The following is a 15,252-nucleotide window of genomic DNA, read 5'->3' on the forward strand; positions in this document are numbered from 1 at the left end:
TGTTTGTGAAACAGATGACCTGATTGTTTCATATGCGTTTATATTATCTGTATTGGTGATGTGCTCCACAGGATCAGATAATTATGATAATACACACGTGTTGAAAAGAGATGCATTCAATTCACAGCTATGGAAGTTTTAAATTGATTTTTTTTTCCCCAAAAGAAGTCAGAATGTATTCATTTTTTCTCGTCATTTCCTTCTTAGCTTAGAGTTACCCCTTGTGGCTTCCTAATTTCATTGCTACCACATTGTCCGAGTCTTCATCACCTGAAACCTGAGTTACTGTACACTTAATGCTTGTCTCTCCTGTTTCTGGTTCATTCTATATACTGTATACTTCAGCACACATTTATTTACCATGGTGGTGATAGTGGTGATAAGATTTTAGTTCTAGACTAGAAGGCATAATCCATCAAAAAGTGCACAAGAGAGGTATTGGTTTGTAATTTTTAGAACACTAACTTTAAAATAGTCCCCCACCCAGTTAAAAAATAATTGTGGACCTATAACGTATACAATACTGCTTTAGATGGTGAAAACATTTAATATATTTATTGAATTGAAATAGTTTGTTGATTTAAAAATTCTGCTATGATGGTAGGATAGGGTAATGGGACAATTCTAGAGAGGAGCACATCTGGTATGTGGCATGTTCATTGTCCGAAGAGAACCAGTTCTGGTAATGAGTAGAGCATTTCTTGAAATTAACATTGTAATAAGCACAGCAAAGCAAAGAGGGTTTAAATCATAGTGGTGCCTCTCTCCTCCCTGGCTTCCCTGATGCCCAGTGGTATACAATTCAGAAATATCTGATGAGTGGTTATAACATTTCTCTGATTTTCCCCTTTCTTTTCTTCATCTCCAGGTTCATCTTAAATGAACCTCTCCTTGGTCCCATAAGGCCAGTCTGTTTTTGCATTCCTCAGTTCTGATTTCTTTTGGCAGGAGGACTACATGTGGTTGACAGATTATATCTGAAAAGGGCTTTGGTAATTGCTCGTTCTCTTCAGTGACTGTGTTGCTGACAGATGGGCACAGTGAATATTGAAAGTGTTCTGGACCTCCGCTTACTCCTTCAGCTCATGAGTGCTGAGCACTGCCAGCACTTTTCTTATTATCTATTAGCAAATTTAAAAAGAATTGCTTGGATCTTTACATCTTTTTGGACCTATAACTAAATCACATGTATGGCTAGGTTCTTTCCCACCTCTTCTACCCCCAACCCCCGTTATGTATTTTTTGGAATAGAGAAAATTCTCAAGATGTTAATGCAGGCTGGCATGAATGGGTGCCAATAGTTCTTACAGACTTGTTAAAAGATTTATTTTTTGCCTGAGAATTACACATATGGCCTAGAATGATAATATTAGGATCTGTGTTGGTTGAGATAATTGGCAGATCACACCTTAAGAAAAGTGATTGGTTGGCTTGTTTCTTTCATTTTAATCTGTTGTCTCCGTCACAGTCAAATTAGCATTATGTAGTATATTACTACACTTAAAAAATTATTTAACCCATTTATAGAGGGCATCTGTCGGTTGCATTTGATTTATTTAAAACGTTTTCTTACATGGCCAATTTAGTAACAGCAAGCAAAACCAAAATGAGCAAAGGAGAGGATCCCAATAATCCCAGATCTATAAAGCGGATTTCTCAAGGGGGTAGAGATAACCACCTAGCTATTGCTAAATGTGATCTCACTCAGTTGAAAAAGAAACAATCAGAAGTGAGCAATGGGAGCCGTGAAACCATCTCAATGAAGACTTGTTGCCAACATGGAGATAGAGGATATTGGTCTACAGGGTACTATTGGAGAGGTAACTGTGAGGCTTTTACACCCAGACAGCCCTTCTGTGCATGGCAAGTTTTACTGAACTCCTCGAGATTTAGGGCCAATTAATTCATCTGTTTTAAGATGAATTCATCGGGTAATGTGTTTTAAGATTAAATTAACTTGTTTGTTCTTGCTTTCCAGATCTCTTATTCACTGCATGTGTGTATGTGGGTAGGTGAGTGAGAGTGAGAAAGATAATATGCCCGGGGTTGGATGTCTGTTTTCATTTATTATTAAGTAGAAGAAGATGCTCACATACTTGTAGGTACAGAAGCTTCAACATAGCAGTCTTTCACAGTGTGAGTTATGATAGACGCAATCTAAGAGTGAATTATAAAAGTGATAGGGCCGGAACAGACTTTTATTAAATTTTGGGTAATATTGTAGATTAGAAAAGTAAAATGTGTTACCTCTACTTATCTTTAAACATTCACTCTATTTAATGTATTCATCAGACCTCAGGAAGCTTGCAAGTATATTCTGAAGTTACAAATTTGTATTTTCTTTGTAAGTAATATTTAGTAATATTTTCCTTTATAAAAAACTTTTAAAGTCTAAAAATGCCACTGTGTGTCAATGTCCTGTATCACCTCTCTCTCAATTTTCGTTCTCTTTCTTCTAATAACTATTTCTAAGGAAACTATTTTTACAAATTATTCCAATGATTACTATCAAATTAGAAGATCTCTTAAATAGCATCTAATGTGATTTATAGCAGAGATAACTAAGGTCCCCAAAAGTTAAGTTACATGTTTAAGATTACACAACAAGTTAAGTCAGAGTATGGAGAGGAACCTAGATCCTCTCATCCTTGTTCAGTCCTTTTGGCTCTAATGTTGCCTCCTATCACATTCTCAGTCTGGATGAGTTGGCTGTAAAATATCAAGGGTATGCTCTTTGCAGTCTAATTTAGCAATTATGATCAATGTTGTCATCCATGTTTTAATAATAGAATTGTAGAGATAAAATTTGTTTTCCGTAGGTCATATATGTAAAAAATGCTCAATACATATTTATTAACTGAGTGAATGAAGCTGGTAGTTTTGTTTGACATATGCACTTTTTCTGACTTTCAAAAAAAAAGTTAAAATCAGAAAAGAAACCAAAATGGATCCATCTGGCTTATTTGGAAGGACATTATTGTGTAATGAAATACCAACGCAGTCACATTATATAAGTCAGTGTTCATTATCACAGACAAATCAGCATGGTAAAGATGATAGATTTTCAGAATAGCATAGGGATTCTTTTAATAACCCCCTAATAAATAGATGCAAATAGTTTTCCAATTGAACATACCTTTGAATTATTACCCATATTATTGTCTTAATTTGTTGAAATTGTTGTATTTTTGTAATGTGATTGCAACATTGCTTTTCAGGAAGAGGAGATTATGATTCTGTATCCCCTTTTGGTCCTATTTATCCCTTTTAAATCAGTTTCACCTCTCATCTTAGACTTATCGGGATTTTTATGAATGTACCTGACTATCCTTGGTACATAAAAAGAAGACTCTTTTCACTTTACTTAATGCTACAAAATTTTGAGTGTAGTTCCCAGATGGCTAATTATTTATTTGGTGACTAAAAATATAGCTTCTTGTTCTCCAGTCACATATGTGATTTTGGGATCTTAAGATAAATTTTTATATCTCATATGAGTGATCGTAGAATTTCCAGCCATTATATTTCTTATCACTATGGCTAGCTTGAATATAATAACATGATTTTAAAATATATATAACCCTGACATGGTGATGTACTTTTGAAAGCTCCTTGTATTAGCAGGTTATTTGTACAGCTGTATCAAAAAGACTTGCCTCACTTCAGAGGATTATCGATTAATTTGCATAAATGTATTTATGCTTGAGAGTTAAAGTAATGCACTATTAGTTTTATAAAACAGTTGGCATAGCTGTCAAAGTTCTTAATGTTCTTTGCAGTGTTACAGCTAGAATTTCCCAGGGCATTGAAAGAAAAAGCAAAGAAACAAATCTTTAATAGTGTTACATTCTGCTTGTTCTCCTGGGCTTGTATTGAAGCACAGGTGTTAAGGTGGTGTTGAAATTAGTCTGGAATCATGAAAAAATAAAATACAACTCTTTGAGGTAGCTAGGGCAAAATGACTTTGCAGTGCCACGACTGCTCTGCCCCTATCTGAGAAAATGCTTCTTGTGCTCGGTAGCTCTTGTTAACTTGAAAAACTCTAGAATTACATAAATAATGAATGGATGCAAAAATTCATTGGTTTTTGTAATGTAGATGAAGGTAAGATGTCCTGTCAGAACTGAAATTTGCATAGTAGAAAAATTTAGTTATCCTATCTTGTTCTTTAAAGCAATAAATGACTATGAATATTCATGGTCAATTAAAATATTAATGGTATACTGATACTTTAGTTTTAGGTCTCTAGCCATCCATAAAGAGTTTCATTTAAACTTGACTAACAGTGAAGGGATACTTTAGCATAGTGTATAATATATTGGCATTTTGTCTCTGAAATGAAAATGTAGTACCTGACATGAGTAAATAATTTGCTTACTCTTATAATTCATCATTTCTTTTGATAAGAAAATATTCTCTTCTTGTATAGACTAAAACAGGGACACAGTATGTATATCTTTTGGTGTTGAAATACTCTAATGTTTTTAAGCACTAGTATTTATCTTTATCATGTAGTTAGAGTTTCATTTAGTTGCTTCAATTGACTTTTAGACTTAAAAAAATTTTTAAGTGTAAAGTGTACAGTACAGTGTTACTAACTCCATCCATATTGTAGTTCAACCATCACCACCATCTGTCTCCAGAACTCTTTTTCATCTTACAAAACTGAAGCCATATCCATTAAACAATAATTCCCCATTCTCCCCTTCCTCAAGTCCCTAATACCCTAATAATCACAACTTTACTTTTTTTTTTTTTTTTCTTGAGATGGAGTCTCACTCTGTCGCCAGGCTGGAGTACAGTGGCATGATCTCAGCTCTCTGCAACCTCCGCCTCCCGGGTTCAAGTGATCCTCCTGCTTCAGCCTCCTGAGTAGCTGGGACTACAGGCACGCGCCACCACGCCCAGCTAATTTTTTGTATTTTTAGTTGAGATGGGGTTTCACCATGTTGGCCAGGATGGCCAGGATGGTCTTGATCTCTTGACCTTGTGATCTGCCCGCCTTGGCCTCCCAAAGTGCTGAGATTACAGGTGTGAGCCACTGCGCCCGGCCCACAATATTACTTTCTATGAACTGGACTCCATTGATTCATATAAGTGAAATAATACAGTGTTTGCCTTTTCGTGACTGGCTTATTTCACTTAGCGTAATGTTCTCAAAGTTTATCCATGTGACACTATGTGTCAGAATTCCCTTACTTTTTAAGGCTGCATAATATTCCAAAGTATGTATACATCGCATTTTGTTTATTCATTCTTCTATTGATGGACATATACCTTAAATGTGTGACTTACATGGCGTGTACATTATTTGGGTTGCTTTCAGCTTTTGGCTTTTGTGAATAATGCTGCTCCACGAACATGGGTATACAAATATTTTTTTGAGACCCTGCTTTTAATTCTTTTGGATATCTACTCAGAAGTGGAATTGTTGGATCATATGGTAATTTTTATTTTTATTTTTTTGAGGGATCTCCCTACTGTTTTCCATACGACTACAGCATTTGACTTTTTCACAGTAGTGCCCATAGGTTCCAATTTCTCTACAACCTCGCCAACGCTCCTACATTTCTGTTTAATATATTGATTTTTAAGTTACAAAAGTTGCGTATTGTAGAGATTCAAACGATTCAGAGAGGTGTAAAGTAAACTTGAAAATCCTTCTTTATTTTCCCTTTGACTCTTAAAACATTGATTAACACTGATTGAATCAGATCCAAGATGAGGTTTCAAATTCCTCTAAAAATCTTCCTAAGAAAGCTTTTTAATACCTCCCGCACATATGTGTAGATAACTGTCCTTTCTTTTGAGCTTCTCTTTTAAGGTACTGCATCTTAGTGTAGTGACTTCCATTTAGTGAATGCTACTGAATGTGGATTCGTGTCAGACACTGTACTATCCATATGTTTTTCAACCTTATAGCACCAGCAGTGCCTAAGTCATTGTGCCTGGCAAGTCATAGGTGTTCAATATAGGTATGATACATGAATACACATGTCCAGTCTGGGAGGAACTTTTCAGGAAGTAACTAACATAGGCCTCTTTCCTTCCGAGTGCTGTATAAGCAGTCTCATGCTGGTGTTGCTTTGAGCATGCATTTTCCGTGTTGTATAATATATTGCTTTAGGGTACACACTGGGCCTGTGAAGACTGGGCCTATGTTTCCTGCTGCTTTTGATACAGGATCAGAAAATGTTTGGACCCCCCAACTGTTCTCTGATTTATTAACACTGGCTCAGAATTATGGAAGTTTGAAGTTGGCTGGAAGCTATGAGATGATTCACTGAGAACCTTATTTGACAGCTGAAGAGACTGACATAGTCAAAGACTTCTACTGTTGTTAGGAACAGCACTTGTTTTAAACCTTTATTTTAGGTCGCGGGTACATGTACAGGTTTGCTAGATAGGTAAATTGCTTGCCACGGGTGTACAGATAATTTCATCATTCAGATGATAAGCATAGTACCCACAGGTACTTTTTCATCCTCACCCTCTGTATTAGTTTGTTTTCACAGTGCTATAAAGAATGACCTGAGGCCGGGCGCGGTGGCTCACGCCTGTAATCCCAGCACTTTGGGAGGCCGAGGCGGGCGGATCACGAGGTCAGGAGATCGAGACCATCCTGGCTAACACGGTGAAACCCCGTCTCTACTAAAAATACAAAAAATTAGCCGGGCGTGGTGGTGGGCGCCTGTAATCCCAGCTACTCGGGAGGCTGAGGCAGGAGAATGGCATGAACCCAAGAGGCAGAGCTTGCAGTGAGCCGGGATAGCGCCACTGCAGTCCAGCTTGGGCGAAAGAGTGAGACTCCGTCTCAAAAAAAAAAAAAAAAAAAAAAGAATGACCTGAGACTGGGTAATTTATAAAGGAAAAAGGTTTAATTGACTCACAGTTCTGCATGGCTGGAGAGGCCTCAGGAAACTGAGGCCTCATGGCAGAAGGCAAAGGGCGAAGAAGGCACGTCTTTTCATGGCAGCAGGAGAGAAGGAGAGCAGGGGAAACTGCCACTTTTAAACAAACCATCAGGTCTCGTGAGAACTCCGTCACTATCATGAGAACAGCATGGAGAAATCTGCCCCCATGATTTAATCACCCCCTACCAGGCCCCTCCCCTGACATGTGGGGATTGCAGTTTGAGATGAGATATGTGTGGGGACACAGAGTCAAACCATAGTACCTTCCTCCCTCCCTCTACCCTCAAGTAGGCCCCAGTGTCTCTTGGGCCCTTCTTTTTGTCCACATGTACTCAGTGTTTAGCTCCCACTGATAAGCAAGAACATAATGTGGTATTTGGTTTTCTGTTCCTGTGTTAGTTCCACCTAGGGTAATGGCCTCCAGTTCTATCCATGTTGCTGCAGAGGACATGATCTTGTTCTTTCTTATGGCTGTGTAGTATTCAAAGGTGGATATGACCACATTTTCTTTATCCAGTCTACTGAAGAACAGCACTTTTAAACAATGCTCTTTATTTTTCAAAGCCTAATTGTTAAAGTGTCCTTATAGATGTTACTGAAACCTCCATATCCAAGATAAAAGAGACTGCTTTGCGGGGTTGTTAAAATCAGTTTTTCAAACATAATTAATCAAATAAAATTTACCTAATGACATTTCAGTAGTCCTTATGGGGTCACAATTGCTCTATTTTTTTTTTTATTTTAAATAAGGTGAAGTGTAAATGAAAGTTTTTCGTAATGTTGTTTACATGTGCAAAATGATTAGATACCTTGCCATTTTAGTATAAATATGAATAATGATCATGGGGCTAATGATTAAAAATAAAAAAATTAAGAAAAAGACATTTTAAATGGCAACCGAAACAAATCACAAGGACCAGAATTTCCCTGTTTCTCAAGCAATCAGAAATTTTCCAAACAATAATTAACATGTTAACAGAAAAAAGAAATGGAGTCTAAAGAAATACAAAAGAGTTCATGGGGGTTTTGAAAAGTTGCATTCTTTGCAGATGAATTGCATCCTTTGGGAAATAACAGTATATGTAGAAGTTAAGAAACATCAGTATTACGTATTCTTTAGTGTTGTTTAACAGCTTTTTGAGAAATAATTCACATGCCATGCATGCTTCACATTTAAAGTATACTATTTAGTGGTTTTAGTATATTCACTGAGTTGTACAGCCACTGCTCCGTTCTAATTTTACAATATTTTTCTTTTAGAGTGTGTTTTTTTTCTTTGTTTCTTCATATTCTCACCAACAGCCTCTCTTCTTCTTTATTTACATTTTATTTCTTTGAGATCTTGCCTACTTTTTTTGGCTGTTTCAACTGTTAACTTGGATTTTAAACACTAGTCCTACACTCTAGCTTGTTCTTCTCACTTCCTTAATATTACTCCGATAATCTCTTATGTGGCCTACTATTTTATGCATTCATTCAGCATTTACTGAGAGCCTGTTGTGTGCTGGGCACTGAAGAATGTTGGTCTAGCTGGAGGACAGTTACGTAAAGAAGTAATGGTGGCACCCCAGGGACTGAAATGCTGTTCAGGATGCTCTGGGAACATAGAAGGGCACTTGAGAGGTGCAGGCAAGATTTTGCAGGAGAAAGAACTCTTGAGCTGAATCTCAGAGTACTGGGTAAGAGTTAGCCAGATGTACTAGATAGAGAATGCCAAGCAAATGGATTATCATATATGAAGCTTCTAAAATTTGAAAGAACCAGTTGTATTTAGAGGAAAGCAACCAGTTCATTCAGTGGCATGTCTAGGAGAAAAAAAAGTGAGAGGTGCAGCTGAAGGGAGAGATGGGGAAAGGCCTGATTTTTGAAAGGCCTTGAATGCCATACTAAGGAATATCACCATTATCCTGAAGGCAGAGATAGACTGAAAGATTTTAAGTGGAGGAAGAAATGATAAAGCTGATGATGGATTTTAAGCAGAGGATTGGTATGATGAGATGTTAGGAGGTCTGAAGGTAAATTTGGTAAGCCAAGGCAAGGAGACAGGGTGTCTATGAGGTGATTGTGGTTGCTTTAGTTAGAGATAACGAACTGTGGCTGTGTCTGGAGGATAGTGACTGTGTGGGTCGGGGAAGAAGAAGGGTTATAAAGGACAAGGAGGAGTGCGAGATGACTATGGCTCAGAAAATTGCATGCTGGAGGTTTAACTTTGGTGGAAGAAGGGCAGGATGTAGGGAACAAGAGCTCAGATTTGGATTTGAACTTGTTGAATTTGGGATATATGGGCTGTTTAGGTGAAATCTGGAGTTTGGGAGAGAGGTCTGGGCCACACATGGCTTTGAGTATCATTAGCATTCAGGTTTTAATTGAGTTGACATCATGATTGTGTATTTGATCAGAGATACAGTAAGAATAGCAAAGACTTGAGAACAGAATCTTGGGGACCCCTGCAGGTGAGGGATTTTGAAGGTGGAGGAGATAGTCATCATTATCTGCCCAAAACCCTTTTCTTACTAAATTGTCTTATTCACTCAAGATTGCATCATTCTCAATGTAGTTGGAAGCCAGAGTTGGGAGTCTTCTCTGACAATTAACTTTGCGTCATCTCTCATCAAATTATTTTGCTTTTTTCCTGTGCAGTACCTTTTAGATCTGCCCTTTCTTATTTTTTCCCACTTGTGTCACTATTTTTCAGGCCTTTGTTTTTTACGTATTTCAGTTTTTTTTTTGTTTTTTTTTTTGAGACAGAGTCTCGCTCTGTTGCCCAGGCTGGAGTGCAGTGGTGTGATCTTAGCTTACCGAAGCCTCTGCCTCCCGGGTTCAAGTGACTCTCCTGCCTCAGCCTCCAGAGTGGCTGGGATTACAGATACGCTCTATCACACCCAGCTAATTTTTGTATTTCTAGTAGAGATGGGGTTTTGCCATGTTGGCCAGGCTGGTCTCGAACTCCTGACCTCAGGCGATCTGCCCGTCTTGGCCTCCCGTGCTGGGATTACAGGCGTGAGCCACCGTGCCTGGTCCAGACTTTTATCTCTGTAATATATCAGAGTTCCATATAAGATTTCCACTGACAAGAGTTCTGTGAAAAAAAAGTTTGAAAGTATTCGTTTATAAAAATACAGATCCTGGCATTCAAGGCTCTTTGGAGTCTCTCCCTATCTAATTTATTTTTTTGAATGTAAATCTCAGCATAAATCTTAGGCTTCTGTCATTCTGTGATATTCAATTTTCCTGAATTTTTATGTCTGCCTTTTAAAATGCTGTTTCCATTACTTTCTTTACTCCTCACACATGCAAAGGTCAAATGCAATAATTCAAGTCTCATTTCCTCTTCGAAGAGGAAGCAGTGTGGTATTTTATAAAGCTTTCTGCAAATCCTTGTGTTATCTGTGTAACTTCAAGTGACGGACTTTCCTAAACTTTAGGTTTCTTATGTGTAAACTAGACCATGTGTAGGTTAAATTAATAAAATGAAGTGTATAGCACATGGTTACTTTTTCTGATCTCGGTCCCTTTTGTGCACTCTCATTCATGTATTTATTCATTTAAGAAGTATTTACTTTGGCATTACTCTGGGCAGTGGTGATACAGCAGTGAACAAAATGAACAAGAATCACTGTCATTGGCCAGGGGTGGTGGCGCACACCTGTGGTCCCAGTTACTCGGAAGGCTGGGTGGAAGGATCACTTGAGCCTGGAAGATTGACACTGCAGTGAGCTGTGACCACACCACTGTACACCAGCCTAGGTGACAGAGTGAGACCCTGTCTTAGAAAAAAAAAAAAGTAGCTGTCAGTATGGAGCTTATGTTCTAGAAGAGGAGATAAATGATAAGAAATACATACTTTTCTTTTTCTGAGACAGATTTTTGTTCTGTCACCCAGGCTGGAGTGCAGTGGTGCGATCTCAGCTCACTGTAACCTCTGCCTCCCAGGTTCAAGTGATTCTTCTGCCTCTGCCTCCCTTTTAGCTGGGACTACAGGCATGCACCACCACACCCAGCTAATTTTTTGTATTTTTATTAGAGACAGTGTTTCACCATGTTGGCCAGGCTGGTCTCGAACTCCTGACCTCAAGTGATCTGCCTGCCTCGGCCTCCCAGAGTGCTGGGATTACACGTGTGAACCACCACAGCTGGTCTAGAAATATATACAGTTTTAATAATGGTAAGTGCTAAGGAGAAAAAGGAGGAAAGGCAGGCATGAAGTATCAAGAGGGATGGCTGAAATTTTATTTTTTTAAATTTTAGATTCAGGGGTACATATACAGGTTTGTTAGATAGGTAAATTGTGTGTCATGGGTGTTTCATGTGCAGATTATTTCTCCACCTAGGTAATAAATATAGTACCTGATAGGTGGTTTGATGATCTTCACCTTCCTCCTTTCCTCCACCCTCAAGCAGGCCCTGGTGTCTGTTGTTCCCTTCCTTGTCTCCATGTGTGCTTAGTGTTTAGCTCCCATTTACAAGTGAGGTCATGCAGTATTCGGTTTTCTGTTCCTGTGTTAGTTTACTTAGGATAATGTCCTCCATTACTAGGATAATGACCTCCAGCTCCATCCATGTTGCTACAAAGGATGTGATCTTACTTTTTTTATTTTTAATGGCTGCATAGTATTCCATGGTCGTGTATATGTACCACATCTTCTTTATCCAGTCTACCATTGATGGACATTTAGGTTGATTCCAGGAATGTCTTTGCTTTTGTGAATAGTGCTGTGATGACCATACATGTGCATGTATCTTTATGGTGGAATGATTTATATTCTTTCGGGTATATACCCAATAATGGGATTGCTGGGTTGAATAGACAGATTGAATGGGAAAGGCCTCTCAGAAGTTTTCTCTTCAGAAATTGGGAAACACATGACATACTCATAGTACACAGTCTTTGACATGCTGTTGTTTATCTAGATATACTCATTCTGTCAGCTGTGCCCTCACCTCTGTTATGGGCTCTTTGTATTCCTTATCCCATTTTTTTTGTTTGTTTTTTGAGGCAGAGTCTCACTCCGTCACCCAGGCTGGAGTGTAATGGTGCGATCTCGGCTCACTGCAACCTCTGCCTCCCGGGTTCAAGTGATTCTCCTGCCTCAGCCTCCTGAATAGCTGGGATTACAAGTGCACGCCACCATGCCTGGCTAATTTTTTTTGTATTTTTAGTAGAGACAGGATTTCATCATATTGGCCAGGCTGGTCTCAAACTCCTGACCTCGAGTGGTCCACCTGCCTCGGCCTCCAGAAGTGCTGGGATTACAGCAGTGAGCCACCATGCCTGGCCCTGATCCCATTTTTATTGCAGTAGAAGTGTAGTGACAAGGAATTGGTAAGGTATCAAAATAGAACAGGAAATAATGGAAGAGGCAAGACCTTCACATCTAGGAAGAGACTGGTGGAATTCTATGAAAGTTAAATATTTAATACTTGTTTTGTCCAGTTTTTATTAGTCCAGACACTTGCAAAATGAAAACGAGAAGAATAAAGACTACCTGCCTCTACCAGGCATTATTAATTGCCCTTTGGAGATTTTGAATGAGGATGTTAGTGTCTTTGAGTTTCATAATGAAAACTGGAACTATGGGGAGAAATTGCTTGATCTCAGAACTAACTGAAGCTCCAGTGCTCAGAGTCAAACTAAACTAGACGGGCCTTGGACAGGTGGGGAGTTAGCAGCCAATTTTATTCACATCATTTGTCTTTTATAAAAGGTGTTTGCATGTCAGATTGAGCAAAAATCATGGAAAATGCCCAAGTTTTAACATCATTGTTTGAACCTATCAGCAAAATCAGATGGCTTGAATATGTAATTAACAGTTAAATTTGTCCTCCAGATTTGTTTTAGCTTCTAGCATACCAGGCAGGAAATTGGAATTAGAAAGAAGAACTCAGGATGTGAAACTCTCATTTCTGGTTCAGTTTTTTTCCAAAGAAGTTATCCAGAGAAGAGTTAAATTTCCTGCCAATGATGACATGAAAGCTATGTTGTTGCTATTGCTTTTGTTTTGAACTTTGCAAAAAGAAAAAAAATTCACCAAACACTACACTTTGATTAGTTCTAGCAGGTTTTTTTTTCCCCTTAGGGGAGACTATAGACTGTAATTTCATCACAAAAAACATGGTGCCTGAGCTCTAAGCAAAGTTTGAGTTTGTTTTTCCCTTGAGGATTTGACATTTTCTGTTTCCTGACATTTTTACTATTGTTAGACATACTTCTTTGTATTCTTGCCCTATATTCATTCCCTAAGGGAAATTGTGTATTTTATCTACTGGAAGGCAGGAATGCCTTCTGTTTTGGACAAGCCATTTAATTGTTCAAATAAATTCAACTATAGTGTAATAGACCAATCATTAGGAACTGGGCCATGTGGCAGCATTTAGATTCATGAGACCCAGATTCTCAGTTCATTCCAAAAAAGGAATTAAATACCATGGACACAAAATGAATGATTTTCTTTCCTCCCTTCTTTCTCCCCAGGGTTTCCCATTTCACCCTTTAAAAATATTAAATGATATCCTAAATACAAACCAAATGCTTTTTGTTTCAGTATTTATGGTTTGCTTATTTGTGGTTTTCTGTTTAGTGGTTAATAATTTGCTTACCATTAAGAAAAATACTAGCAGATTTTTTTTGCCACTATTCTCTATTTGCTCTATAAAAATGTGATGTCCAAATAAAAGGGAAATGAAGACTTACCACTTTTTGGCCTTCTTTTCAGCTTTTTGGGTGTAATTCTGTTTTAACTAATAATTAAATATATGGCCGGGTGTGGTGGCTCATGCCTGTAATCGCAGCACTTTGGGAGGTGGTGGCGGGCAGATTACCTGAGGTCAGGAGTTCAAGACCAGCCTGGCCAACATGGTAAAACCCTGTCTCTACTAAAAATACAAAAATTAGCTGGGCATGGTGACTCCTACTCAGGAGGCTGAAGCACGAGAATCGCTTGAACCCAGGAGCTGGAGGTTGTAGTGAGCCAAGATCCCACCATTGCATGCCAGACTGGGCGACAAGAGTGAAACTCAGTCTCAAAAAAGTGTGTGTGTGTGTATATATGTATGTGTATATATATGTGTGTATATGTGTGTGTGTATGTATATGTGTGTGTGCACATATGTGTGTGTGTGTGTATGTGTATACACACACAAAGGGGACTTCAAAAGGTCATGGATAAAAGGAATTAAAAGATACAAAATAAAAATATAAACTTTATTTCTCAACATAAGCTCCATCAAGGTCAGGACACTTTTATAAGTGATGGTATCAGCCATTTAGTCCTTCCCTAAAGAACTGAGGGTACTGGGAACCTAACCGTGTCAGTGCCATCTTTTTTACATTACTAACTGAAGAAAAATGGGTGGCCTTTAAAGATTTTTCAAGATTACCTGGACATTTTTCTGCTAAAAGTTTGGCTAACTTTCTCAAAACTCTGTCATAATAAGCAGATGGTATCGTTCTTTGGCCCTCTAGAAAGCTGATGAGGAGAATGCCCTGAGCATCTCAAAAAACTGTTGCTATGACCTGTGCTCTTCACCTGTCCATTTTTGCTTTTACTGAACCCCTTCCACCTCTTGGGAGGCATTGCTTTGTGCTTTGTCTTCAGGATCACACTGGTAAAGCCATGTCCTGTCTCCTGCTACAGTTCTTCAGAGAAGTGCTTCAGGATCTTGATTATTCTTGTTTAAAATTTCCATTGAAAGCTCTGCTCTTGTCTGCAGCAGATCGGAGCACAACAGTTTTGCCATGCAGAGTAGAAAGTTTGCTCAACTTTAATTTTCCAGTCAGGAGTGTAGGTAAGCTGAACCAGATGGGATGTCTACGATGTTGGCTATTGTGTGTGCTGTTCATTGTCGGCCCTCTTTAATTAGGGCATGAACAAGATTGAGTTTTTCCTCACAAATGGATGGGGATGGTCTGCTGCCGTAGGCATCATCCTCAAGATTGTCTTTTCCCTTCTGAAAACAAGTCATCTATTTATAAACTGCTGATTTCTTTGGGACATTATCTCCATCATCTTTACATAAAGAATCAATAATTTTGATGCAGGATTTTTTATTCCTTAGTTCAGCTAAAATCCAAGTTATTGTCTCACGACCAGAAAAAATTAGGCATGCGAACACATTTAAAGGTGAGGAGAGCGGAATTTATTAAAAGCAATCTGTCAGCAGAAAAGAGGGGGTTCCTGCTAATAGGCTCCCACCTCACAGATTGAATACCAGGCCACCACACACAAGCTGAAGACCCCTGGCTCCTCTCCTTGTCTAAGTCTCGAATTTCCGATGTCTCCACTCCATTTTCCCAGTGCACATGCAGGCCCCTGGTCCGTTGTGGGCATGCTCAGGCAAG

The 15,252-nt window shown here is 38.6% G+C and overlaps 1 protein-coding gene across 10 annotated transcripts in view; it reads left to right on the forward strand.

The window, feature by feature from the left end:
- Window positions 1-15,252, forward strand: part of EXOC4 (exocyst complex component 4) — an 847,874-nt gene that overhangs the window by 321,864 nt on the left and 510,758 nt on the right. Inside the window, exon 1 of one of the 10 annotated variants that reach the window (XM_017012494.3) lies at window positions 1,520-1,820. The exons of the other annotated variants lie outside the window; for them this stretch is intronic. Within the exon in view, the coding sequence (XP_016867983.1) occupies window positions 1,574-1,820 (247 nt within the window). The 5' untranslated portion in view covers window positions 1,520-1,573. Of the gene's footprint in view, window positions 1-1,519; window positions 1,821-15,252 lie in introns of those variants that run through there. 10 annotated transcript variants of the gene reach the window in all.

Source organism: Homo sapiens, chromosome 7, assembly GCF_000001405.40.
Source record: "Homo sapiens chromosome 7, GRCh38.p14 Primary Assembly".
Lineage (NCBI taxonomy): Eukaryota > Metazoa > Chordata > Mammalia > Primates > Hominidae > Homo > Homo sapiens.